This window comes from Homo sapiens, chromosome 2 (assembly GCF_000001405.40).
Source record: "Homo sapiens chromosome 2, GRCh38.p14 Primary Assembly".
Classification (NCBI taxonomy): Eukaryota; Metazoa; Chordata; class Mammalia; order Primates; family Hominidae; genus Homo; species Homo sapiens.
This window is the reverse complement of record NC_000002.12, coordinates 8,146,167-8,173,940: the sequence shown is the minus strand read 5'-3', so window position 1 is coordinate 8,173,940 and position 27,774 is coordinate 8,146,167. Positions and strand designations below refer to the sequence as shown.

At 44.2% G+C, this 27,774-nt stretch overlaps 1 long non-coding RNA gene across 1 annotated transcript in view, besides 5 other annotated features; it reads left to right on the top strand.

The window, feature by feature from the left end:
* The window catches only part of LINC00299 (long intergenic non-protein coding RNA 299), a 320,649-nt gene that overhangs the window by 154,479 nt on the left and 138,396 nt on the right, over window positions 1-27,774 (top strand). The gene's annotated exons all lie outside the window — the stretch shown is intronic.
* Window positions 14,286-14,462: a silencer, noted in NCBI's record as "fragment chr2:8299609-8299785 (GRCh37/hg19 assembly coordinates)". NCBI's record gives its function as "represses an EF-1alpha promoter that drives an FKBP-Casp9 reporter gene in an ReSE screen in HepG2 liver carcinoma cells {active_cell/tissue: HepG2}" and the evidence as "EXISTENCE:reporter gene assay evidence [ECO:0000049][PMID:32094911]".
* Window positions 14,429-14,930: an enhancer, noted in NCBI's record as "H3K4me1 hESC enhancer chr2:8299141-8299642 (GRCh37/hg19 assembly coordinates)". NCBI's record gives its function as "activates a minimal SCP1, AML or CMV promoter by ChIP-STARR-seq in naive H9 embryonic stem cells {active_cell/tissue: H9 hESC(naive)}" and the evidence as "EXISTENCE:reporter gene assay evidence [ECO:0000049][PMID:30033119]".
* Window positions 20,619-20,668: an enhancer, noted in NCBI's record as "active region_15251". NCBI's record gives its function as "activates an Ori minimal core promoter by ATAC-STARR-seq in GM12878 lymphoblastoid cells {active_cell/tissue: GM12878}" and the evidence as "EXISTENCE:reporter gene assay evidence [ECO:0000049][PMID:35858748]".
* Window positions 23,076-23,576: an enhancer, noted in NCBI's record as "H3K4me1 hESC enhancer chr2:8290495-8290995 (GRCh37/hg19 assembly coordinates)". NCBI's record gives its function as "activates a minimal SCP1, AML or CMV promoter by ChIP-STARR-seq in primed H9 embryonic stem cells {active_cell/tissue: H9 hESC(primed)}" and the evidence as "EXISTENCE:reporter gene assay evidence [ECO:0000049][PMID:30033119]".
* Window positions 23,577-24,077: an enhancer, noted in NCBI's record as "H3K4me1 hESC enhancer chr2:8289994-8290494 (GRCh37/hg19 assembly coordinates)". NCBI's record gives its function as "activates a minimal SCP1, AML or CMV promoter by ChIP-STARR-seq in primed H9 embryonic stem cells {active_cell/tissue: H9 hESC(primed)}" and the evidence as "EXISTENCE:reporter gene assay evidence [ECO:0000049][PMID:30033119]".

The following is a 27,774-nucleotide window of genomic DNA, read 5'->3' as shown; positions in this document are numbered from 1 at the left end:
ACTGAAGAATTATTTTCCGTTGATTTGGAAAGCCACATTTTTCACTATTAAATTTCTATTTATGCTTGAGACTATGTCTGGGTTCAAGTTTCATATTAAATTCCTCCCTGAACCCTGCCCCTCCTGGTTCTGTGTCTTTACACAATGCCAGTGGCATCCTTCATTAACACCACAATGTCAGCATCCTTCAAAACATCTCTTTGCCATGAAATGAGACTATCCCACCCCATCCACCCCACATGTGATTCACGTTATCTTACTTGAGGCCTCAAGGTCCTGCACTGCCAGAGCTATATTGGATCTGAGAGTCGTCCCTGTCATGCCACTGATGGGGAAACTGAGGATATAAAATTAAACAACTTGCCTGGCAGCACACAACACATCAACAGCAGAACACAGGCTAGGTAGTTTATGCTTCCCCACAATACGCTTGGCCTCTGCTCCGTCTCCGTTTCTGCAGCGTCACCCATATCCGGGTCCTTGTCCTTCCCTTTGCTGTTTGTGCTGGTCTCCTGTCCTCATCCCACTGCCTTCTAGGATGGTCTTGGTAAAGCAGGAACTGTGCAAGAGAGAAGAGGGGACGGCGTGTTGCCTGTGTGGGAAGTTCTCCCATGCTGCAGCCTCTAGGCCTTTCCTGCACCACGTGGTGGGTAGTCAGGGCCTCCCCAGCCCCAGCAGCCAGGCTCCGGAGGCTCTGCTGAAGAGCAACTTCAGGTGGGCCAGGGGCATTCTCCCACTCACGGTGTGGGTCCCCAGGGATGCCAACTGCCTCAGAACCCCTTGTGAGAATGCATGGAGCAATGCTGGCCTCAAGAAGCAGTGTCCAGTACTAAGGGCGGTGGGAATGCTGGAGCGGAAGTGAACTGACCCGCATGGTGGCATGGAAAACGGGCGAGGGCAGATGAGGAGCAACGTGTGCACGTGTTGTGGTGTGTTTCAGAGATCAGAGACACAGACTGTGTGCACGAAGGAGCTGCTGGAGGTGGGGATGTCTGTGCCTGCTGGAGACGACGTGGGAGAATGGATTTGCAGTGGAGACTAATGAGCATGAAATGTTCCTTTCTGGGTGGGGCCGGCGCACGGGGCGGGATGGCGGTGGCTCTGTTACTGGAGAAATGCTTAGCGCCAAAGTCGGATGTGAAGGAGTTTGGAAACTGTGTCTTTCCATGTATTACCCGTAATGCCCTGACTGCTGGGCTGTAGCTGGGGTAGACTTCGGGACTCACTGACCCCAGAGGCCGTGACATGGGGCTTTTAGGCCATTTTTGAGCAGGTTCCCACAGTGTTACCATAAGGGGTGTTTGGTTCTGGAGAGGAAGACAGTGGTGGCTAAACATGGTTGACAGGATTTTCTCATGAAAGCTCATATAAGATCTCCCCTGAGATCTTCTGGTAAGAAGAGAATTTTTCAGGGGGATATAATTCTAGCTTTGTGGAATCGAAGCAATCACTGGAGCAGCAACTTTTCCTGATGATGTGACCTCATGTTTCTTCTTCCAGACCCCATTTCTAATACCAAGTTGGCATGGCCTGAGAAACTTTAGGTGATGTGAATTACTCCAGGTGGCCTTGAATCCTCGTGCATGCAACTCGTGTGACTCCGGCTGTGACTGGAGATGGGCACTATTCCAAATATGCTTCCTTTGCCTCCAAAGATCTGGCCTTTAGTTTTTCTAGGCTGAGGCCTGTCGGGAAAGGGAGTCGAGGAAAGTTGTGAGAAAGCTCGATAACCATGGGCAGAGAAGAGAGCATTCTTCCCAAACATGCTGTTCAGGCAGAGTCCCATGGAACTCATGCTAAGTCTGTCACAAAAACAGGAGCAGGTCTTTAGAGTGCTCCCGATTCTGGGGGAAAATGAGAAAATGAAAATTCCCAGTGATTCTGTTTTGAGAGTATGTATTTCTTTAAGTGTTAACACAGGGGGATATTGACCAGAAATGGCTGCTTCTTGTAGTAAGTGGTTCCCCTACAGAAACCTTAGAATTCCTAGCTTGGAGTGAGGAAAACAGAAGAAGTTCACCCCTCCCCAGGTGCTTAGAGGGGGGAGGTGGCCTGTTGCCTTGGCTGGTTTACCATTTTTGTTTTCAGAGCACCATCATTTTAGTCATTAATCAGTAACGCTGGCAGGAAGTCACCAGTTGGAGTGAGTTCATGCATCATCTTGGAAAATACTTGCTGTTTTATCTACACTGGAGAAATCTCACAGAAGCAGGCTGTTGCAGTGTCAGAGAAAGCTAGGTCCCGAGCTTGGCTTCCTCACCTAGCTAAGTGGGTGACCTTGATTCTCTCTGAACTTTTATTTTATCATCTCTAAATATATAGAGATGATAATACTGTCATCGTAGAACCTTTGTTCAGATTAGAACACACACACACACACACACACACACACACACACATACCCCTAATGCATCCAGCTCCATATAATTGGTACATAGTTGAACCTCAACATATAATTCTTATTATTTATTGCTTTACAAAAATAGAAGGTATTTTGCATAGCTGCAAACTATGTGGTGGATATGCTATTTGAAAGGAGACATTTAGAAACGGCTTCAATTTGCTGGTACTAGATTTTGAATGGATTGAATTTGGAGGTAGTAGGATTTGACGTAGTTTTAGAATATTTGAATCTGGAAGCTAAAATGATAACACCCATTCTACTCTAGAGGTAACCTCTCTATAAAAAGCTACCATGAATAATAAAGAAACATTGCTGCATATATCTTTTTCATTTTTTTGATGAACAGGATGTGATGCCACTGTAATGGTATTTAGTAAATTATTATGCTCCCATTAAATTATAGTCCTGTAGCAAATAGTTGCAAATTCAATTACGCTGCTTAGCTTCCAGCAATCCTGCATATTCATCAAAAGCTTCTAAAGATGGCAGTAGCTCTAAATTTCAACGAGGAAAAAGACATATTAGGTAAAACATGGGTCAAAAGTCAATCAGTTAATGCTCGGCTCATCATAGTCTCAGATCAGCTTGGTCACTGCCGTCATCTTTCACTGCCATGAGCCTGCTCTGAGGTGTTTTGTCCTAAGGAGACCAACTACCTTCTGTCCTGTTCTTGCCAACCCATCCCACTTTCCAGCTGCCAATGGAGAAGAAGCATGGCTGATCCTCCTCTCTTCCCATGTGGAAGGTGCTGCTGAGGGCAGACCTCCCTTGGGAAAAGGCAGGCTTTTATCTGCTGAGCTCAAGGTTAAGCCTGCTACGAAATCTCAAGGGCAAATAATCACTTGGGGATTATAGAACTCAGTAACAGGAAATCTGAGTGTCGGCTTTCAGGGATTCGTGTTTCTTTAGGGGAGAAGGTCTGAATTAAATAGCTTCCCCAAGGAGAGCTAAACATCCACTGTAGACAAAGAAGTCTTCAAAGCAAGGTCAAAGGCAATAAGCAATATTTGCATGATCCAAGGAAGCCACTGTCTGGAGATTGCAAGCTCTTTATAAGAGGGCTGAAGAGTGACATCAAATGAAATGAAAGAGGCTGTGGGAGAAGAAATGAAGTGTGTCTACTGACAGAAATGTAACCAGAAAAAAGGACTTGGTCTGATGTCTTAGGGTAGTAATGCTAGCAGCAGCTTGGCAGAGTGGAAACACCCTTGGCTGTGGAGTTGCATTCACCCCAGGTTCAAATCCTGCTTTGGTGCTTACAAGTGGTGACCTTGGGCTAGGTCTGCATCTGTAGATGGAAACAGTGTCCCTTCTGTGTTTCTCTTGAGAGGTATCAACAACCTGCTGAAGGCATCCTGGTACAGTGAAAGAGATCAGAGTCTCTGAAGCCAAATGGCTATGGTCTGAATCTTGTCTCCCCTACTTTCTAGCTGTGTGGTTTTGGGCACGTTCATTTACTTCCCTGTGCCTCAGTTTCCTTATCTGCAATGGAGCACACAATAGTACTTATCTCAAAATGTTGATCAATATATGGAGGATTGATTTTGGGATTCTCTGAAGATACCCAAATCCTCAGATGCTCAAGTCTGTGATTTAAAATGGTATAGTATTTGCATATAACCTACGCACATCCTCCCGTATACTTTAAATCATCTCTAGATTGCTTATAATACCTAATGCAATGTAAATGCTATGTAAATAGTTGTTATACTGTACAGTTTAGGGAATAATGGCAAGTAAAAGAAAGTCTGTACACATTCAGTACAGATTTTTTTTTTCCTGAATATTTTCAACCCACAGTTGGTTGAATCACAGATGTGGAACCCACGGATGCAGAGAGTCTATGTATGTGCAATGTACTTGGAACAGTGCCTGGCATCTAATAATATGACTATATAAGTCTTTGTTTTTATTGTGATTAGGAATATTATTATTATGACTCCTTGAGGAAGTCATATAGTCCTCAGAGAATATTACTTAGGGGAATTACAGAGAAGGAAAGCATGCTTTCAGATAATCAACAGCTGTTCTTCATTTCACCGTACACGGTGACCTGTAGTCCTTTTCTACCTGACAGAGGTGATATTTTCCAACACCATCCATCTAATTGTGATGCACAGCTGGGGACTGAGTTCCATTATGCTCCAGAACCCCTTCCTAAAACATCCATTGCTCTGCAACCAAGATAAAGGGTAACTCATGAACTCATTCCTTGTCTCCAAAAGTTGATTTATTACTGTCAAGGTCAATACAATACTAAAATACCTGGCCTTGAACCACCATTGGGAGTATTTGAGCAACCATGTAGCTGAGACCACACCAGCACAGGGGAGCCAACTGCTCCTTTATTGAGTAGAAAAAAAGAAATCTGAGTGTCTGTAGACAGGAAGAGGCACTGCTGATTCTACAGCTGTATGGTAGGCATGAGCTTTTCGCCAATATCTGGTTCTGTCAACAATCAGAGTCATGGGAGAAGTGTGTTCTGCCTTCTTCAAAGTTCACTGTGGGCCTGTGATTTGCTTTGGTAATAACCCAGAGAGTAGAGCCAGGAGATGCATGTCAGTCCTGGGTGAAATCCCTCACTTGCTGGGGTGGGGGCGGTGACTCTGAGCCCACTCTTCCCTGCTTCTTGTGCAGAAGCACTTATAGGCAAGGTGGGGACATAAGGGCAGGGCATCCTGAAATTCTGAGCTAACCAAAGAGGATTGTTAGCCTGCAGGGGAGATAAACTTCTCTTTGATAGGCCACTGTTATTTTGGTCTTGTACTTCTTTTCTTTTCTTTTCTTTTTTCCCTTTTCCAAGCGGAAGCATAAAGTGATCTATGTTGGCTGACGGCTTATAAATGAGCACGTGTAAATAAAAAGGTGATCATTAGGAATTGAAAGACATTTCCTCCATGCTGAATATAGGTCATTTTTTTTGATCATTGTGAAAGTGATGTTCACACCATTACCTAGCTTTCCATCAGCTTTTTGAGAAAATGTTTATTACGTGCTCATGTACAGGAAGGGAAAGTATGAGCTGGTTGTTACAAGAGGAAGGCGGGTTTTTGACACGTTGGTTAATGTATTTAAATGAATCTGGTGAAACCCTGGTGAAGTGTCATGGTCCATTCTTTGCTTTCTACCTTCCAGCAACTTGATCAGTGACATCAGGGAAGACATTCAAAGCCACACTTATTACATTTTTGGATCATGAAAAATTGAATGCATGCACCCAGGATTTGTAATAATCTTGCCGTCTAAAATCAATTAGATTCAGATTGAATTGTGCCTGGTTGCATGTCGTGCTGTGCTTTTAATTTGATGGTGTAATATAACATTTCTGTTATCATTCACCGTAATGCTATTTATTATCTCAAAAGATTGATAACCACTTAAGTGTCCAAGGGTAGGGGAATAGTTATATGCATTGTGATTTATGTCCACAGAGGACATTTAATATCATAAGGAATGCTAAAGATATAATGTTAAATTAAAAGATCAACTAAATATGAAATTGTATACAGTATGATTCCAATGTGGTTTTAAAAGGAAAGGACCTGAGTACTAAAGGCAAGGTTTTCTTCTTTCTGTCTCTTTTTTATTTTCCAATAAATTTTTACATGAGTAGGTATAATTTTTATAATAAGGATAACATGCTTTGTACAAGATAGCAAACTTTACATAAGGATTTAAAGGTTAGGGAGAGGGTCCTCTTTCCCACATTTAGTTAGGATCTGCACCAACCTCACTACCTCAACTGGGTTTATCATGCCCAGGATGAGGCAACAAATTTGCGATATTTGCAGTGTTCTCAGTGCTACTGCTGGAGTTATGCCAGCTCTGATATATGAGTTACTATTCTGACATGGTTTAAGGTATTTTCCAGAAAACTGTATAATAAAATATAAGTGCCAGGCTGAACTGACATGGCAGTAGTTGGGGAAGACTTAGCATTCAATTATGTTTTCTATCTAAATATAACCAATGTTTTCCTGACTTAAGGTATTCTTGAATATGCATTAAGAAAGAACACTTGGCCGCGTGTCGTGGCTCATGCTTGTAATCCCAGCACTTTGGGAGGCTGAGGCAGGCAGAACAGCTGAGGTCGGGAGTTTGAGACCAGCCTAAACAACATGGAAAAAACCCCGTCTCTACTAAAAATACAAAATTAGCTGTGCATGGTGGTGTGTGCCTGTAATCCCAGCTACTGAGGAGGCTGAGGCAGGAGAATCGCTTGAACCCCGGAGGCAGAGGTTGCAGTGAGACGAGATGGCGCCATTGCACTCCAGCCTGGGCAACAAAAGTGAAACTCCGTCTCAAAAAAAAAAAAGAAAGAACACTTAAGCATTTGTATTGTTTTAGATAAAATTAATAAGGACCTAAATTTTAAGTGTATTTAGAAAGTATTTTTCAATCTAGACAAAAGAGCGTTTTCAGTAGTTTTTGTTGTTGTGTTGTTGATTCTAATACTGCATCTAATTTATCTTTTTCTACCTTTATATACCTTTATAGGAAAATTAACATATAAATACTTCAAATGATATTTAACAATATAGTTCAGAGCTCGTTTGAAGATTGCCTACTCTATAGCTTACGTGGTACAATGCTTGATTTAGCTCTTGCTATTGAATGTTCTTTACTTTAAAAACAGCATTAAATGCAAAAAATTCCACAATTATTCTATTTTTTTCATATAGCATTATAACTGCCATTCTAAATGCAGTCTTCACTGGGCTATGTTGTACTGGAAAATACATATTGTAAAAGGTGGGTGAGTTAGCAGTATACTTTTGTTTCTGAGGAACTTGCTTGCATTTTAAATTTGGAATCTTCTAACAACCTTATTCATGGTTTACTCCATTCTCTTTAATAAAATGTATTTGGGAAAATTTACTTTGATTTTTAAAGGGACTCTTCTGATTTAACCTGATTGCTGTGTCATGTATATACTCTGGTCCACTTGATTTTTTTTTTGTTTTTTTGGTAGAGATGGGATCTCACTATGATGTCCAGGCTGGTCTCAAATTCCTGGCCTCAAGCAACCCTCCTGCCTTAGCCTCCCAAAGTGCTGGGGTTATAGGTGTGAACCACTGCACCAGAAATTTCTTTGTAACTCATGATTTGAAATAAATATGATTGATTAAAGAAAAGGACATTTCACAACAGGTATATAACGAGCTTTATTGAAAAACATATTAGAGATAATTCCCTGAATACACAATTATTGAGCACCTAGAGTGCTCGAGGCCTGGGATGCCCTAAATCATTTTGTTAGCTCTTGAAGAAATGCAGATCTTATTCTCAACTATACTTGAGTGTTTGGAGGCACTGAATTACAGCACTGAACTGTTTGTCACAATATTACTGTTAGTGTATTGTAACAATTACAGTGTGTTCATTCTTCTCTCTCCCCGTACTAATTTCCTTCCTTACAGCTGATGGTGGATTAAAGCAGACGCAGAGAGGAGAGGGCAGGATTGTAACCTCAGCCACTACGGGCAGGGATGAAGGGAGTGCTGGGTCAGATTCTATGGGGGCATATTTGAAAGACTTTCCATCATGCACCTCTATCATGCATTTTCTGTCATGCACAAGAGTACAGTTTTTCAAAAATGAAAAGCAAAGCAAAACAACATACACAGGTCAAGGATACAGGGTTTGTTTGATTTGGGTAGCTATCTGGGAAACAGAGAAAGCAAGTTAGAGGAACTTGGCTTGTTAAGGTGAGATGTGCATATTCATGCAACTGTTAGGTTGGTGCAAAGTAATTGCACTAAAAGCAATGGCAAAAGCCGCAATGACTTTTGCACCAGGCTAATAGTTAATCGGTTCAAATCCTTAGGAAACCAATGTCTACCTTCAAAAGGAAATAATTATGGTTGTGAAAGTCTTAGGCAAACATGCTTCGGTGCAATGCAGTGAGATGGTTCTCGGGCCGTCTGGTGGGTACAATGAAGTTTCCCTGCACCTTCCTTTCTCCTCATGCAGGGCTCCTGAGTGGCATCCAAGGTCTTGCGTACTGAACTGACTGAGCCTTTCACTTTTTGACTAATTGTTGTGGCAACAAGACAGAACATCAATTCATTCATCGTAGCTGCTTATAATATGCCAAAGTATAGTAGAGTGTGAAGCAGGAACATCTTTATGGCAATGGGAGCTTCCATTCTTCCCTCTGCTCTGCGTTTTGTAGATAATTTGGAAAGTCACAAGTCATGGGAAAAAAAGGCTTTCCTAAACCTGTTGGGAAATATCTCTCCCTTGTATTACACATGAATTATTATTTGGGAAAACTGAAAGGCTAAAATATCTTCAGAATTAGAAAACTAGGCAATATTGCTTTTTTCCTTTATTGCCCATGGGGCTGCTGAAATAAATATATTTTATTGGAAATAAAATTTTGAAGAATATTTTGCTTTTAAAAATAAGACGCCTCACCAAAATTCAGAAACTATAGAACACATTTTTTAAAGTAAAAGTTACCCTGATCTTCCTACTAGAAACAATCACTGTTTATAAATGGAGACAACGAGAAAGATATACATGCACATTTATAATCTCATATAAACATTATGTAATTCTGTATGATATCTCAACTAGGGATAGTTACAGAACATTTTGTATTTTTACTGTTCAAATAATTTTAGAAGTAAGAATATTTTCTATTATTTTAAATGCAAATGTACATACCTTATTTTATAAACCTCATTTTACTGGCTGTATAATATTCCATTCTATATTCACAACGGTGCTTTTTTAAAATGTAAAAATTCCCTTTTGGTATAAAATGATAGGTTGTTACTCTTTCTACCTACCAAAGCATTGTACAACTGTAAGAAGATATTTGTTAGATCAATGCACTGTGCTAAAAAAAATCCACAGAATTTGGCCAGCAATACGTATCATATTCACCCACTCTCGTCCAAAACTAGAAAGAGTTAACATATGTGCTGCCTCCATGGGCACAGTGTGGGAAGGAACACAGTCTCCTAGTTAACTGTTTTGTTTTTTTTTCTTAAATCACACCCATAATGCAGCTAGAAGTGAATGTCAGGCCAAGATAGAAGCATTTCTATATTCTAATGAAGACAGCAATAGGATTACAAACAAGAAAACTCGGAATACAGAGAACCAAAAGTGAAGGAAAGGATTCCGTTAGACGATCTGTGTTGACTGTTCACCACCACCAAAATGCTGTCATTTTCTAATTAAATACAAAGAAACTATTCTCACTTGGTAAACTATATTTCATTCATATACATGATAGGAAACCTTGTAACTTAAAAGGAGAAACCATATGAATAGTTCCGGTTTGGATTTTCAACTCCGATTTTAAAGAATGACGAAGCTGTTTTGAATTCATAAATATATCTCACTTACTTAATTGTGTCCACAATAGATGAAGCTAAAGTCATCCCCGCTTGCTGGCTTTACGGATCGCCTGCACTTCCAAAATTAGAGCAGTTGCTGTCTAGACCGACTGACAGGTGTTCAGTTCAAGCTGTGATCTCCTTGGCCTGCAGGACCACTCTTTGTGAAAAATGCCATCCCCATTCAGGCTGGGGAGATGCATTTAATCTTGGTGCTGCTTGCAGACAGACTTTAAAAAGCTGTCCCAAGAATACATCTTTGCCAGTAGTTTAGTATGTCAAACTGAGGACGAGAACCGTGCTCTATTCTTAAGATGCAACGATTTGTGGATTGGGAAGATTAGCCAAAAAGAAAGCTGGAGGTCAGGAAGGCGGCCAGGCCTTGGTGTGGGAGCCCAGCCACCCCTGTGAGATTGGGGAAGGGCACGGTGGCCATGGAAAAGCACCATGGGCCTGGTGTGGTGGCGCACACCTATAATCCCAGCACTTTGGGAGGCCGAGGTGGGTGGATCACTTGAGGTCGGGAGTTTGAGACCAGCCTGACCAACATGGAGAAACCTTGTCTCTACTAAAAATACAAAATTAGCCGGGCATGGTGGCATGTGCCTGTAATCCCAGCCACTTGGGAGGCAGAGGCAGGAGAGTCGCTTGAATCCGGGAGGCAGAGGCTGTGGTGCACCAAGATCGCACCATTGCACTCCAGCCTGGGAAACAAGAGCAAAACTCCATCTCAAAACAAGAAAGAAAAAAAAAGAAAAGCACTGTGAGGAAGGGCACACCCCAGGGTGGCCGTTTTGTGGCTTAGTGAGATGTGACTGTCCAGAATCCTTTGTTTATTTAATAATTGTATACAATATTTTTTTGTGGAAAATAACATCCTTATCAGGAGTTGGGGAGGGAGTCCTTGTGGAAAGGAGAGGCCTGAAGAATGAAGTTACAATATTCTTCCCCGAGAGGCTGGGTCCGGTGAGATGAGCGTGTCAGGTATAATGTGGTATCTTGGAAACTTGGAAACTCTAAGTATGCTGTTACTTTTTTAAAAAGGCATTCAGGCCAGGCGCAGTGGCACACACCTGTAGTCCCAGCTACTCGGGAGGCTGAGGCAGGGGAATCGCTTGAACCCGGGAGACAGAGGTTGCAGTGAGCTGAGATTGTGCCATTGCACTCCAGCCTGGGTAACAGAGTGAGACTCAGTCTCGGGGAAAAAAAAAAAAGAAAAAGGCATTCACCATCATCGCCTTCCATTGCCCAGACAATGGAGCAGAGCATGGAGGGTGGGGGCCAGCCCTGGGTGGTGGAATGACCCCGTGCGTGTCTGGCTGTGACACGTGCGGCAGCTCAGTAGTCCACAAGCAATGCCGCCACAGGACCAAGCCTGAAGGTTGACTCAGGACTCGTCATGTGCGTCAAGAAAACTGAGGAGAGGATAATTTATGGCATGTGCTCTGAGATTCCCTTAAATAGAAAAGACCAGCCGTTCAGCCTTTCTCAGTGTGTCCGCTCTCTCCCGTGCCTCTCACTGAATGGCTGGGAAACACAGACCTACAAAAACCAGCAGGAAGAAATTCCGGTGCAAGCGCAATGTCCAGATTATCACACGGTCCCACGTTCCTTCCTACAGACGCCCACCCCGCAGAATGACTGCAAGGCTCAGGGAGGCGAGGGGCATGGAAACACCTGGCTCACTGTCTGGTGCCTGGCTGGGCCTCAGTCAATCTTCCTTTCCTTCCCCAGAGTGAAATGTGACCACTGATACCTCCCTTCATATACCAAAGAAGGAGCTTATTTAATAAACCCCAGGTAATAATTCACTTTAGAATGCACGCTAAATTATAATTTATACATATCTTATTTTTAAACTGAGCACTGCATTAAATTTTAACTTTGAACAAAATGAAAATTAATTAAATTCCTCAGTGTATACTGAGTAGATATTGAAAATGTTCAGAGTAAGGTTCTGGAAATTACGACATTTACAAAGGATAAAACACAACTGGAAGATGGCGAATGGGCTGTTACCAGGTGGGCTGACTAAATTCCCTGCAGTAACTCACTGGTTTAAAAGTGACACTTGTAGCCTCAGAAGATGCTGGAGTTAGAATCACAGAGAATTGTTAGGTATGTTGGAGATAACACATATACAAATGTTTTAAAAAATCAAAATTGTACTGGATTTTCATTAAATCAGCTTAATTAAAACTATTTGCTGAAGTTATCACAGCTATGCATCTACTTTCCTTAAAATAATAAATATTTTAAGGGCTGTATTGAACAACTTGCTGTCAACCCCAAAAAAGTAAACTTAAAGAGGCTTTGTGGCCGGGCACGGTGGCTCACGCCTGTAATCCCAACACTTTGGGAGGCCCAGGCGGGCGGATCACGAGGTCAGGAGATTGAGACCATTCTGGCTAACACGGTGAAACCCCGTCTGTACTAAAAAATACAAAAAAAAAATTAGCCGGGCGTGGTGGCGGGCGCCTGTAGTCCCAGCTACTCGGGAGGCTGAGGCAGGAGAATGGCGTGAACCCGGGAGGTGGAGCTTGCAGTGAACCAAGATTACGCCACTGCAGTCCAGCTTGGGGGACAGAGCCAGACTCCGTCTCAAAAAGAAAAAAAAAAAGCCTTTGTGTTTGGATGGAGAGGACAGATTGTGTGTGTGTGTGTGTGTGTGTGTGTGTGTGTGTGTGTGCGCGCGCCTATAAGAGCCGTAAGATGATATGCCAGAAAGCAGGGAGATTTAGGACCTAGGACCAAACTGTCTATGGAACTCACTTCGAGACAGAGCTCGGAAACGATGTTCCACCCAGGTCGGACCTGGCAACTGAGAGCCCACTGAGCACGCAGGGCCTGGAGACGAGGGTGTGGCGCACAGCAGATGCGTTCCCCAACCACCCCGGTATCCCTCCCAGAGGGCAGAGTCATTTACCGGCTCCCACCAGGCCTCCTGCCCCCTTGCCGTAATAGACTGTGGACAGCGTCCATCTGATGGCCTGTTGTGGTACAAGCAGCCCTGGACAGAAACAGGAACTGTGATCAGGGCTCTCGCTGTCACTCTGCACATGTCACTTGTAGTTTTCTGGATACATGGGTCTCTTCATTCACACAGGTGGGGGCTGGGCTGGTGCTCTCACGGACAGGTCCTCTTGGAGCCGTGAATTGGGGGCGCTGACATTTGGCCGAAGAGCAAAAAAGTCAAGAATGCAATGAAACCTGTGTCTTTAGCATCATTTAGTGGCTCATGTTGCCAGTTGAGTTAGAGAATACACAGAGAAAGTCCGGAGAGTTTTTACTGCAGCGTTTTCCAGGCCTTTTCCAAGGCTCAGCTCTTAGCAACATCGCTCTCATTTGAATATCTACTTGAGCTGGAAATATTTTATTATCATTTAAAATACTTGGGAATTCATCATGTTAGGATTCGTATTTCCTGCAATGAGAAAGAAGGGAAGCCATTAGCCTCATTTAAGCACCTACTGTTTTCCAGATCTTGTTCTCAGCAATTTTGCATGTATTTCTTTTTACAGCAGAGGGATGGGTGGTGGGGTGAGGGTGATTTCACAGCTCCAACTTGCTCTTTCATTGACTCCCAGATTTGCACTGAGAATTCAAGTTGGGTGTCTGAGAAACTCAAGGACAAAGGGTGAGAGGTTGTGGTGTAAGAGGAATTCTTAGGAGGAAGCAAAATGGTGAATCTTAGCTTCAGTGTAGAGAGAGGTGCAACAGCAAGACAAGCAGACAAACAAAAAAAACAGAAGTGAAAACCGAGTTCAAAGGGCTGCAGGAGTATGCAGGAGGTGAGGGTAGCTCATGCTTCATTTGGGGAGAGGAGAGAAGTCTTCCTAGAGAGGTGAACATTGAACTGGGCCTTATAACACAAATGAAGGGCATTCCAGCAGACAGACCATGACAGAAAGGGGTGTAGAGGTCAAAGTGAAGCCAGCGTTAGGGCATGAGGTGTTTGGGGAGGGAGGTGGAGCCCCCTGGGCCTAGAGCCTAGAGTTGGGGTAGGCCATGCTTGGGAGAGTCCTGTGTCCTCCTGTGACTTGACCCTAACATAATGCAGCCGATTCTGCTGGCAGAGGGAGGGGCCTAGAGAATTAGCAACCTGTTTCCCACTCCTGCTCAGTCAGTGCCCTGGGAGCACCCTGCAAGCTTCTCTGGACTTTGTAAGTGCACCCGAGGGAGCTTGAATCCTAGGAAGTTAAAGAGAAGAGAAGCTTCATTTTGTGTTGGGAAAAAAACTTTTAGAGCAGAATACTTCGTATCTATGTAACTAGTGTCTTCTTTATACAGATTTTAAAGCATTTGAAAGCCCTTTCTGAGCAGTACCAGCGACATATTTAGTGCTCTGTAGCGGAAAGCAGGAAAGTGTGTGCAGCCAGCCAGTAAAGAGCTTTCCCTGGAGTTAGATTGACTCAGCCTGTCCCAGGCAGCCCAGCAGCTGCCCAGGACTGCCTCGGGGGCAAACTGCTATGGGGTAGAAGGCAGGGAGGGCTTCAAGCAGGAAACAGGAACTTGAACTGGGATTGGAGTGTGACAAAGTTTAGGTGGGTGAAGGCGAGGAGCAAAAGCATCCTATGCAAGATGCTGCTGGAATTGAGGTTGTGAAACTGGAGACCAGCCCCCCAGCAAGGCTGGGAGGGAGTTGGAACCGGAGAGGACACTGGGCTTAGATGATGGGAGAGTCAGATGGGTGAGCCTAAGTTTGCTGCATTGGCAGCAGTGATGAGTGCAAGTGCCATGATGAGTGTGGCTGCGCCGATGTTTTCAGGGCCGGGCGGCCCTCAGAAATTGGGCAGCACCTTGTGCAGGGCAACAGGGAGTGGTGAAGCCTCCGGAGAACCAGCGTGCAGGGGGTGCGCACAGACACCAGATGCACAGATTTTCACCTTGTGCTGGGAAAACAGGGCTTTGCAGGTGGTTGTGGTCATTGGACTATTAATTTTTCAACTTTTTTTTTCTAGGAAGAAATCATTTTAATATTGCAGACTCTCTCCAGAAATTAAATATAAGTGGTTTTAGGAAGTTACCTGATTTGAAATCAGGAGGCAGGCAGAGAGAAGTGGTCAGAGAAGAGGTGATTTCCAAATCCAGACACGAAGTGATAAGGTCTGGATGGGGAAGAGGTGTTCTGTAGGAAGGTGGCAGAAAGGTAAATTGAGAAACATAGGGAAGACATGAATGGAAGGGATAAGTTGAGGCAGGATCTGAAGAAGAGAGAATCTACCAGCACCCAGGTGGTATTCACATGCACAGCGAAGAGCCGGTGTTGAGAAGGAGGTTCTCGGTGATGTTAGTCCATTGAGTGGAGCTGTTTTCTTAGCTTTCAGTGACGTGGGCCCAGAGAGCAGGCGACAGTCAAGGTTGTTCACACTCAGATTTTAAAGTCTTACAATTTCCCATCAACTAAGCCAGCAATTATAAAGCCAGAAGAGTGTTTTACAATTAAATGCTGGAATGTCAGAAAAATCAAAACAAAAGCCCAAAGCCCACCGTTTCTTATTATTGCATTTTCTTTATTATTTAAAACATAATTGTGTGCATAGCCACACAGTGTGATATTAGCATATCTCCAGGAACTGTGAATGAGGTAAGTGAGAAATAAATAAATAAAAGAAGAAAAGTGGAATTCCAGTGAAGAAAAGTGAAGCATCTCTAGCTTCAAAACAAACAAAACGTTTCTCATGATGATTAAAAATAGAAACCTGCGATAAAAATCCAAGAATTTTACCAACCCATGTACTTTTTATTAAGTCCTCAAATAAAAACTTCCGCAAGCTCACAAAAGATTTCCCAAATGCTGGGAAGAGGGGTAAGGTATAAATAGACGTACGGGAGACGCGGATTCTGAGATGGCTCTGAGCATGTTGACAGTATGGTAAACAAACGAGCAGTTGCCTTCATGACACAAACACTGGGACTCGGCTAGTTTTGATTTCTAGCTCTGATTCTGTGTGACTGTGCCACCAAAATTAAGATTTCTCACTTTACATCTCACCATTCTTGATGGGGCCAGAGCTGGTACAACATTACATTCCGTCTAGAACGATTTCACCCTCGAAGCAAAACTGCAACATCTCATATGGCAACATAGCGTTGTTGTATTCATGACTGCCTTTTCTTTCTTCCTTTCTTCTTCTTTTTTTCTTTCGGTAGCAGGAAGATAATGTGGTTTGATGCAATGGCCCAACACAATAGAAGCTAATGAATAGAGCGTGTTGCACTCGAGAGACTGCAGTTCAATTACTGGTGGTGCCAATCAAGTCAGGAATATTAACCATGGTAACCGCAGATTTTCAGCTCTATAGATGTGTCGGGAAGGCAGTTGCCCTGGGAATCACTGGGGTCCTGGAAGGGAGAGGGGCTTGGAGGGACACAGCACCACTGAGCTGTGAATGGCGCCTTCACAGAGGTGGGCACTGAGGGGTGACTGCTCTGAGAAGTCCAGGGCTGTGTTCCCAGAGGACTTGTGGGAGTCCAGGAGCAAAGGCACAATGGTAGATAAATCTGTATTGAGAAGGAGCTGAATTGCATCCTCCTAAAATTCATATGTTGAGGTTCTAACAATGAGCGCTTTGGAATGGGACTGTTTTTGGAGATAGGCTGTTGCTGATGTAATTCCTGTAAATGAGATCATACTGGAGCTGGTGTGCCCCAAATCCAATATGACTGGTGTTCTTATAAGAAGGGGACATTCAGACGCACACACACACACACACACACACACACACACACACACAACACCATGTGAACATGAAGGCAGAGACTGGGGTGATGTCTCTACAAACCAAGACCACCAAAGATGACCAGCAAACTACCAGAGGCTAGAAGAGAGGAAGAGAGGCCTGAGACAGAGTCTTTCTCACAGCCCCAGAAGAAACCAACCCTGCTGACACCTTAATCTTGGACTTTCAGCTTCTAGAGCTGTGAGAAAATGAAACCCTGTAGTTTAACAGCTCTCTGTGTGTGGTACTTTGTTACATGAGTTCTAGCAAACTAATACCACCCAGAGCCACTGAATCAGGAGCTCTGGAAGAAGGCCTGAGACCCCGTGTCCAAATTACCCTCAGGGAAGACCTGGTGCCCTCTCACATTTGAGAACTGACACTCTAAGCCACCCATCCCCTTTGGAACGACCTGGGGATGTCCTAAAAACACAGACTTTTATAATCTTCTCGTCATCCTCAGCCTCTGGCCCCAGACACACATGCCTAGGGTGATCCATTCTGCTCCCTCTTGGAATAGCATTCTGAATCCCAGGGCCCAGGTTCCCCTACACTGGGAAGGCAATTGCTCTCTCAGTCACGAATCCTTACTTTTGTGTAGTGTTTCCCAGTTCCTAGCACACTTTGCCATGAATTTCTTATTTGATTCGTTTTGGGTCCTGACCCCATGGTGGGGAAGAGTGAGAAGGAGCAACTTGATTGTTCAGCGGTTCCTTGGGAGCCAGGCCTGGAGCACACAGGCCCGCATCCCTCTGTCACCTTTGGGATGCCTGATTTCCTGAGCCAAGCCCTTCACAGTCTACCTCCAACTTACTTTACCTGGTTCACTTTCCAGTCTTCCCTGCTCCCTGCCCACACTCAGGCCTCGGCTGTGATGATAACACAGATATTTGCGAATGGAGGGCTTGCTCTATACTGTTCACAGCTCTTCTCAAAAGTCCACATGCACACAAATTACACATCCCCTGAGGTCAGGTTCAGAGTCAGTGACTGCATCGGGCAGGGATTCTGCCTTTCTAACAAGCCTCCAGGTGCTGCTGATGGTGGGGGGATCATACACTGAGTAGCAGGTACTTAGTATCTATTAACTGTTTCATCCTCACAGCAGATCATGAGGTTGTTATTATTATTATTATTATTCTAAATTCTGGGGTACATGTGAGGATGTGTAGGGAGGTTGGTACTATTATTCCAATTATACCGATGGGGAAACTGAGGCACGGGAAGGTGAAGTGACTTGCCTAAGGTCACACAGGAAGTGAGTGATGGAGTTGGAAATTGAACCCAGGAAGTCTGGCTGTAAGATTCAATCTCTTGTTTAACACAAATAGGCGTAATAAACTATTTGTGATTCCCAACACCCCATCAGTTTTCTCTCCTCCATACCTCTAGTGCAAGTTAATCAGCCTCTTGGGCCCTCAATGTCTTCACCTGTGAAACGGGGCTACACCAATCCCTACCTCATAGTGTAGTTGTGAGGATCGAACAATACAATCAGTGAAACTTACTTTTCCTCTTCCTCCTCCTTATTTCTCTTGTTCTGTGGTTAATGATGGGGACTTCTATCCCACTGCCTGTGTTTGGGCTGCCTCTGTGGCACTCCTTAGCTGTGTGATCTTTGGCATGTTACTAAATTTCTCTACAAGGAAATTTCTCTAAATTTCTCATCTATAAAATGGGGATAATAAAATTTCCTTCCTCATAGATTTATTTTGTGAAGGGGGAAGTAGAGAATACGTGTAAAGCTCTTTAGGTAAGCCAAACACCTAGTCAGGTGTTCAAAAATGTGGATTATTATTATTTTCATTCAATAAACACACCTCTTTCAGCCACATCCACACATACTGTATTAGTCTGTTCTCAAGCTCCTAATAAAGACACACCTGAGACTGGGCAATCTATAAAGGAAAGAGGTTTAATGGACTCACAGTTCAGCATGTCTGGGGAGGCCTCACAATCATGGCAGAAGACTAAGGAAGAGCAAAGAGATATCATACATGGTGATAGGCAAGAGAGAACTGTGCAGGGGAACTCGCCTTTATAAAACCATCAGATCTTGTGAGACTTATTCATTACCATGAGAACAGAATGGGAGAAACCGTCACCATGATTCAATTATCTCCAGCTGGCCCCACCCTTGACATATGGGGATTATTACAATTTGAGGTGAGATTTGGGTGGGGACATAGCCAAACCATATCACATTCTCATTCAACTAGTATTCTGAGCACTGTTACGTGTATCATTTTGTTTCAGTCTTACAAGACTCCTGTGATATAGTCATTGTTTCCACTGTAAAGCTGAGGAACTGAGTCACAGAACCGATATGACTCGCTTGGTGCCTTGCAGTCTGTTGATTTTTGGGATAGACTTGAAAACCCCAATGTGTGCATCTGTTCCTGTTTGCATGACACAATCAGTGGTGTGACCTTCATGATGAACGACCCGCCAAGTGCAGGACAAGAAGAGCACTGGTGTGTGTGAACTTCATCAAGGCTCTTGGCAACTCGTCTACTTACCTCCACCTACAGCTACTTATCTGGGAACTCATTTGTGGCTTCCTAAATCCCTTTCCTTTAATTTTGTCTTACATTGCTTGCTTGCTTTCACATACCTCTCTCCTCCTCCAACTCCAACTGTGGCCCCCTTCATGATACCAGCCATGGTGGTGTGGGCTGGATAGGGCATGTCCAGCTTTGATAACCAATCTCTCCTTGGCCCACATGGACAAATACTCTAGCTCATCCCTGTGAGTCCCCAGAGACAAGATGTTAGGGTGGAAGGGATGAATGGTTCAGCAACCCTGGCTCCTAACAGACCTTACTTCCCCTTTGTCTTCTATGAAAACGGGAGTTGGAGCAGTTGATACGACGTTTGAAAACGAACTGCAATTGACTTCCATTCAGTGTGCACTCATGTTCCACAGGAACTCAGTTGATCTCAGTTCATCACCCAGGTTGGGGGTGAGTCATTTCCCTAAGCGAACCTTTCCTTTCCTGAGGATGGCTACTAGCTTATAGACACTCATTCATTTTGGAGTTACGAGGTTTGGCTCTCCCCAAAGCGTTAAATGGCCTGTAGAAGTGTTATTTGTGAAATTTAAGTGAACTCAGATGAATTTTATTTTCACTGCAACAAGCATTTATCACAGGCCTACAATGTGTTTATCAACAGGACACATATTTAGGGGATTAAAGGGACCAGGACACACACACTTCTACACATATTTGTGCATATATATATATATATATATATATATATATATATATGCAATATCTTATAATGTAGTCCCTGAACTCAAGAAGATTTGCTTCTAGCTTGGAGACCTTACAAAAGAAATAATTGGGGAACAGTCTGTGACATTTTCCAATTAAGGACCTAATGGAATGTATGGCCAAATGCTAGATGATTTGTTAAGAGCTGGAAGGACTGCTTTTCATGAATATATTTTGGAGCACTTTGTCCCTCTGACTGAAGGGAGATTTTATTGGGAAGAGGATGGAGATGTGGAGAGCTATTTTTCTAGAATGGAAGTGGTGGTATTAGGGAAACAATATTGGACTTTCAGGCCAAAGACTTGCATTTCAAATTTTGGTCTGATATTTGTTCACAGTTGGATCTTAAGCAAATTAATTAACCTCTCTGAACCCAATTTTCTCATCTGTGAGATGGAGTTAATAATATCCACTTTAAGGATTGCTGAGTAGAAGAAATGCAGTAATATATTGTGAGTGGATTCCGTAAACATTGAAGTGCAGTATTCACAGACGGGCAACTCTTACAACAATGACACCAACACGGCTCACCGGGATGTCCAGATGTGGGGATGGTAGGGAGCAAGGGAGGCCAGAGAATAGGTGTCCCTGGCTTTCTCACTGCTGTGCCTCTGGGACACGCCAGGCCTGACCTAGACCGGGGAGGATCAGAGAGGTTGCAGTGTGGACACAGAGCCTGGGGCATGTTGGAGCAGGAGTGGACAAGCGGCGTAACTGCACAGTGCTTTTCTAAGGAGCTTGATTTCCACCTGCAAAGGGAGTGGACGTCTTAATCAGGGAGTGACATTGTCTCACTGTGCTTGAGAAGATGGTTCTGAGAGGGTGTACTGTAAGGCCTAAATGTCTTAGTGCTGCCCTGACATATTTGAACCTCAGAGGACCCCAAAGTCCTAGCTCTGACTTCCCCTGCTTTTGCCAGAAACTCTCCCAATGGATGGGAGGGCCTCCCAACCCAGCTAGAGGCAGTATCGGATGGACTGGCTGCACTCACCCCATCCTCAGCCTAACAGGTTTCACTTCCTGCTAGCTCACCACATCATTCAAACAAGCCGATCTCACCCTCCCCTGAGGACCAGGGGGACCCCACACTCTTGGTACTATAAAGCCTGCCTCCCGCTTCCTCTGGTTGCTCACTGGGCTCCCAAATGCCGGCCCTGTATGGCCTGCAGTGTCCTCCTCCCCAGGCAGTGAGTAAACATGGCCAGTAAACAACTGTATGCCTCATCTTTCCTGGGTCATGTGTCTTGTGTTTGATGATTCTCGGAACCCTAGGGCAGGATCCCCTCCCGCACCCGTGGGGTGAAGACGGGGCAAGCAGAAGAGAGGGGTTCATCCTTGGGCTGCCCCGGCTACTCTGACCTGGTTTCAGTCACTCATTTCTTGCCTTGTTCCTTGGGGTCAATCCTTGTATGCCCATCCCAGACCCTGGGTCTCTGTCTCATGCCTTGCATGAGAGTTTCTGCCTTGGTTCTCTCCTTGTATACGCCCCTCCTTGTATGCAACCCAGGTTTCTGTGTCTGTGTTTGCATGGGTGTGCTTGCTCCTTTGACTTACACCATCTCTCTCTCTCTCTGGGAAGCTTCTGCTGTCCTTGATCCTTTGTCAACTCTCTAGTCTCTCCTCCCTTGGCATGTAGCATACAAAGCACAGGCTCGACCCACTCATCTGACACTGATCCCTATGGCCTTGTTTGCCATGTATCTTCTTATTTTAGATAAATTGCTTATCTGCCAAATTAAATGGTAAACTTCTTGGAGGTCAGCAGCCTGGTTTGATGCCATGTTTAAGAGTGTGTTAAGTTACAGCTTGCAAACTGGCAGTCCCAGTAAGATATGTTTTATATGGTCTACACATGTTTCAAAGTTTTTGAATGAGTTGCTACCTTTAATGGTTGGGAAATTTCATATAAAAATCTTTATTTTGAGCTTCTCAGGAGATCTGGTGATATGAGGATGCATTCTGACATAGCAAGCATCATCTGAGATTGCACAGCTTGGCCCCTTGCTTTGGCCAGGATTCCACTCAGCCCCTCTGCATTCTGCACTTGCCTGAGTTTCCTGTCCTGACAGGAAACCTGCTCTCCTCCTGTTGCTGACCTTCTGAGGCTGGCTGTCCAGCTTCCTGGGCTTCCTGCTATTGTATGTTGTAGCCGCAACTTGACAAAAACCCAGCCTTCCAAGTTGATACCTGGTCCATCTCCCAGTGGTTAAGACTACCCCTGCTAACATCCTCAGCTTAGCTGCATTCAACTTTTGCCTATATCACTACAATAACCTTCTCATTGCTCTTTTCTTATTCGCTCTTTTTTCTTATTGCAGTAAAATATACATAACGTAAAGATTACCGTTTTGTTTTGTTTTGTTTTGTTTTGTTTTAAGTTGGATTCTCGCTCTGTTGCCCAGCCTGGAGTGCAGTGGCGTGATCTTGGCTTACTGCATCCTCCACCTCCTGGGTTCAGGCCATTCTCCTGCCTCAGCCTCCCAAGTAGCTGGGACTACAGGCACCCACCACCATGCCTGGCTAATTTTTTTTGTATTTTCAGTAGAGACAGGGTTTCACCGTGTTAGCCAGGATGGTCTCAATCTCCTGACCTCATGATCTGCCTGCCTCGGCCTCCCAAAGTGCTGGGATTACAGGCATGAGCCACTGCGCCCGGCCAAGGTTACTGTTTTAACTGTGTTGAAGTGTAGAGTTCAGTGATGCCTTAAGCGCACTCACAGTGTTGTATAACCATCACCGTTCTCTAGTTTCCGAATTTTCATCATCCTATATTTCAAGCCCATACTCATTAAGTCACCACTCACCATTCTTCTGTCTCCTCGGCCTCTGGCAATCACAAATCGGCTTTCTGTCTGTGGATTTGCCTGTTCCGGGTGTGGCATGTAAATGGAGTGATATGATATGTGGGCTTTCATATCTGGCTTCTTTCATTGAACATAATAGTCTCAAGGTTCATGCAGCATGTATTAGTGCTGTATTTCTTTTTATGTCTGAGTAATATTCCATTGCATGGATATGCCACATTTTGTTTGTCCATTCATGGATTGATGAACATTTGGGTTTTTCCCACCTTCTGGCTGTTGTGAGTAGGACTGCTATGAACGTGGGTGGATAAGGTTTTGTTTGAATCTCATCTGCTTCTGCCTCCCACAACTCTCTTTTCCATAGGGCAAAATAGCCTTTTAGAAGAGATACCTGCTCTTTTCACCCCTTTGCCTAAACTTCAGTGGCTTCCCTTGTCTTACAGGATAAAATTGAAACTTATGCATGTGTTCTGCAGGGCCTTGCCAGTGCTGGCTTTTGCCCGGCGCCCCAGCCTGAGCCTCTCTCCTCCCTGCTTTGCGTATCTCGGCCACTGGGCACTTTTTTCAGTTTCTGGACTACAGTGGGCTTCCACTGCCTCTGGCCTGCCCCACATCTTTTTCAACTCAGCCTATAAAGTTCTCTGGATTCTTTTCCACCAAACTCAATCTTAATCACTCTTTAGATTTCAACTAAAAATTTCACTTTCTAGGGCAGCGTTTAACGACCTCCTGACTACATCCAGTCCCCCTGTTTTGCGTTTGCTCACAGCCTGCCCTTCTCCTTTGTAGCAAGTGTCACAATTGCGATGTAAGTGATTAATTGTGCATTCCCCAAAAAGTAAGACCAGGAGGGCTGATACTTGTCTTGTACACAGCTATAAATCCAGCATGCAGCTGGATTTCCTTAGACTTAGTACGTGCTCAACGTCAATTCGTCCAGTGTTGAGGGAGGCCAGCCCCTAGCCACACAGCCACCTTTGCTGGTCTCTGGCCTGGCTAGTCTTCCACACCTCCGCACGGATGTGCTCTGCACAGTGTGGGGCAGGAGCAGGGAGGCCCTGGGTCCTGTGGGGAATTTGGGGAATGTGCATGATTTCCTGTGAGAGGCATGCAGACGGCAATGTTCCCATGTTCTGTGATAGCTGCAAGGTGAGAGGTGCGGTCTTTTACTCAGAGACTGGAAAATAAGATGAAGGTGCCATGTGGGAAAATTGCTTTCATCTGGCTCATGACTGTTTTTTGTTAAGCAGAGGAACGCCAGCCCAAGCAAAAGCTAAGAATATACGATGGCTGAAATTTATTAAGCTTCAGGCCAATGTTCATACATTTGAAATGATGTCAGAGCTCAGAAGACAGAATCACTTAATCTCCTACAGAAGACTGAGAAAAGTTAGTACCCCATAGAAGATCAGTTCCAGGATTTTCCTCCTGGAACAAACACGGGGTGATTAAGGTATAGTTGTCTCTAGCAGAACGAGGGCAGTGGTAACCAGATTTGACACAGTCCCACAGACACCACGGTGGAGACTCCAGCTGGGCCACACTTTCATATGGAAAGAATGGATCTCCACAGGTGACTGAGCACTGTACGGAGACAGCATGTGGAGGGCTTCACTCAGGGGTGGTGTCCTGGGGCAAAGTGGGCTGCTGAACACCGGGCATGGGGTGAGCAAGGAAGGTCCAGCTAGACAGGTTCCCACTGGAGCCAGCCTTTGGGATTCCTGACTCTTCTGCAGCCCACAGGTATATATAGACTATTTTTTTTTTGACAGAGTCTCTTTCTGCTGCCACCCAGGCTGAAGTGCAGTGGCAAAATCTCGGCTCACTGCAACCTCCACCTCCCAGGTGTGAGTGATTCTTCACCTCAGCCACCCAAGTAGCTGAGATTACAGGCATGTGCCAGCATACCTGGTTAATTTTTGTGTTTTTAGTAGAGATGGGGTTTTGCCATGTTGGCCAGGCTGGTCCCGAACTCCTGACCTCAAGTGATCTGCCTGCCTCTGCCTCTCAAAGTGCTGGGATTACAGGTGTGTGTCACCATGCCCGGCCAGGTATATATAAACTCAGAAGGAGGAGCTTGCCTTGGTTAGGCATGTTTCCTAGAAAAGGTTTTGGTGAGGAGACGTTAATGATGAAGCAGTAATTGTCTTTTGGAATGGTGTTTGTCATCTGCTGTGTATGCCCCATGCCAGGTGCTGGGCTGCATTCCACACGTGCATCATTCCTGAGTCCCCACGGTGACCATCCCAGGTCAGTGCTCTGATCAGCCCCATTGTAGGGATGGAACCAAACTTGGAGAGAGTAAAGAACTTGTCCAAGAATATTGACTTAATAAGTGACAGAGGTAGGATTCAAACCTAGGTTTGTTAACCATACGGTGAGTTGGTGCTCTTTTGGAAGCTTGGGAACAGGCTTAGGAGCCCTTAGGATTCTGTCCTGTGCAGCAGGAAGGAATTATATATGGTGAAATAGAGAAATCCATCATCATCAGTGTCCCCAAAGAACCAGAAGCAGATTCCTTAAGATGCATGCACATACGCACACACGCATACACATACACGTCTACACACCCACATCTACACACACGCCCAAGCCAAAAACCAAAACAGACGAGCTAGAACTCTTGACAGCCATGCCTTCCTCTCAGCCACAAAGGGCTTGGTGAATTGGTTTGAGTTGATGTTCAGGCTGGTATTATGTGGCCAAACTAAGTATATAGTCATCCTTTTGGGTTCTGTTTCCTGGAAATACATTTCTGGTTCAGTGTTATAACATCACCCACTTGATAATATCAGAAAGAGATGGTTCGTTTTCAGCAGTTCCCTTTATACAGCCTCATGCCAAAATAAGGAATACCATGCTGAAATTCACAGGAAGGTGGCATAGCTCAGGGTTTATGAACACAAGTTCCTGGAATGACTGCCCAGGCCAAATTCCAATTGCACTACGTATTGCTGTGTGACTCAGGGCTAGTGACTTAAACAATCTGTGTTTTCCTTTCTGCTTCTGTAAGTCAGGGTAAAGATGGTACCTTCCTGTGATCATTAATTTTATGTGTCCACTTGGCTAGGCTATGATACCCAGATATTTGGTTAAATACAAGTCTGGATGTTTCCGTGAAGGTAGTTTAAGATGAGATTAACATTTAAATCAGTGGACTTTTGGTAAAGCAGATGACCCTCCATAGTGTGGGTGGGACTCATCCAGTAAGCTGAAAACCTTAAGAGAAAAAGACTGACGTGCCCCGAGGAAGAGGGGATTCTGCCTCCAGACTGCTTTTGGACTCAAGCTGCAACATCAACTTCTCCCTGAGTCTTCAGCCTGCATGCCTGCCCTGCAGGTTATGGACTTGCAGCCCCTAAAATCACATAAGTCAATTTTTTAAGACCAATCTCTATCTCTCTCTGATATTATACATATATATGTATATGTATGCAGACTGCACGTCCTGAGTTTAATATAATTACTAACGCGATGGACACTGCTCTAGGGCCTTCACATGTAGCAACTCATTTAACCCTCAAAATAACACAATAAGGGAGTGTTGTGGTCAGACTTCCCCAAAAACAGAACCAATAGGAAATATATATACATATATGTATATTTTTATATACACACACACATATATATGCATGTATATGTATGCATATCTATGTACACACATAATATACATACATGTATGTGTGTATATGTATGTGTGTGTGTGTGTGTGTGCATATGTATATGAATGCACCTAGCTAGAAAGACCTAGCTAAAGGCAGGAACCTTGGGCAGCATGTCAGGAATCTGACAGAAACATGCAGAAAGCCAGGAGAATCTCAACCTCTTCTCTATGACTCTGCCTTTTCTCTATCTCTTTCTCCTTGGCATATTACAAAGGCTGTGTGATATAATACCCAATAGGAAAGTGTAGTGGTCAGGCTCCCTCAGAAACAGAACCAACAGGAGATACATATATAGACACACACACACACACACACACACACACACACACACACGTGTATGTGTGTATATATATATCATATTATCATATGTATGTGTGTATGTATGTATATGTGTATATGTATGTGTGTATATCCACACATATATACACATGAACATATATGTATGTGTGTAAATGTATGTGTATATATTATATGTATGTGTGTATATATGTGTGGATATATACACACACATATATACACATATACACATATACACATACATATTATATATATACACACACACACACACACACACACACACACACATACAAGTGTGTGTGCCTATGTATGTATGTATGTATGTACCTATTTATCTATCTAGGTATATCTCCCATTGGTTCTGTTTCTGGGGAAGCCTGACTACTACACGTCCTTACTGGATCATTTTAAGAATTAAATGAGTTGGTACATGTGAAGTCCATAGAGCAGTGTTCAACATGTTAGTAATCATATTAAACTTAGTACTTGCAGTCTGTGTACACTCTTTGCATGATCTAAGGCATTGGGTGGGGCACTGTTCTTGTCCTCAGGAAGAAGACAGTCCCATGGGAGGGCACATGGCCATTGTAATATGCTGAGGAGAAGGAGATAAGAAAAGGCGGAGTCCTAGATAGAGAAGAGGCTGTGATTGCCCTGGCTTTCTGCACATTTCTGTCAGATTCCTGACATGCTGCCCAAGGTTCGAGCGTTTAGCTATGTCTTTCTAGCATTATAAGAAGGGGTGAATTTAAGGGGATGTCAGCTTCCCAAATGTGAGACTGGCTTTTGTACAGGGAAGTTGTTTCTTGTTCAATACTGGGGTTACAGAAGGCAAAGCATCTGATGGACCTGTGCCACTTGGCTTTGATAAAGAGCAGCTGTTTTCCTGGCAGGTGCACATGCCCATCTATGCTAAGGGCTGGCACAGCGGCAGGTTAGTTAGAGAGCAGTTCTCATCCTGGGGAAAGTCAGGGCCCAGGGAGGGAAATCTCCACCTGGAAAGCTGTGATCCCACAGTGTTGCTGAAAAGGACGAGAGGAGGGAGTAGCCAGCACTGATGGAAACCAGGGAGGGCAGTGGAATTTCTGTGGATGATAAGCTGGGGGCCAAGGGGTAAATAGCAAGTCCCAGGAGAAACACCTCCCAGATGGAGGGCACAGTCTGAGTAAGGTCTCACCTCACATGGAGGAAGCAGAGTGAAGTTTGGCTCCAGGGAGAAGGCCTTTGTGTACTGGGAGTGTGGAGGTGAATTGGC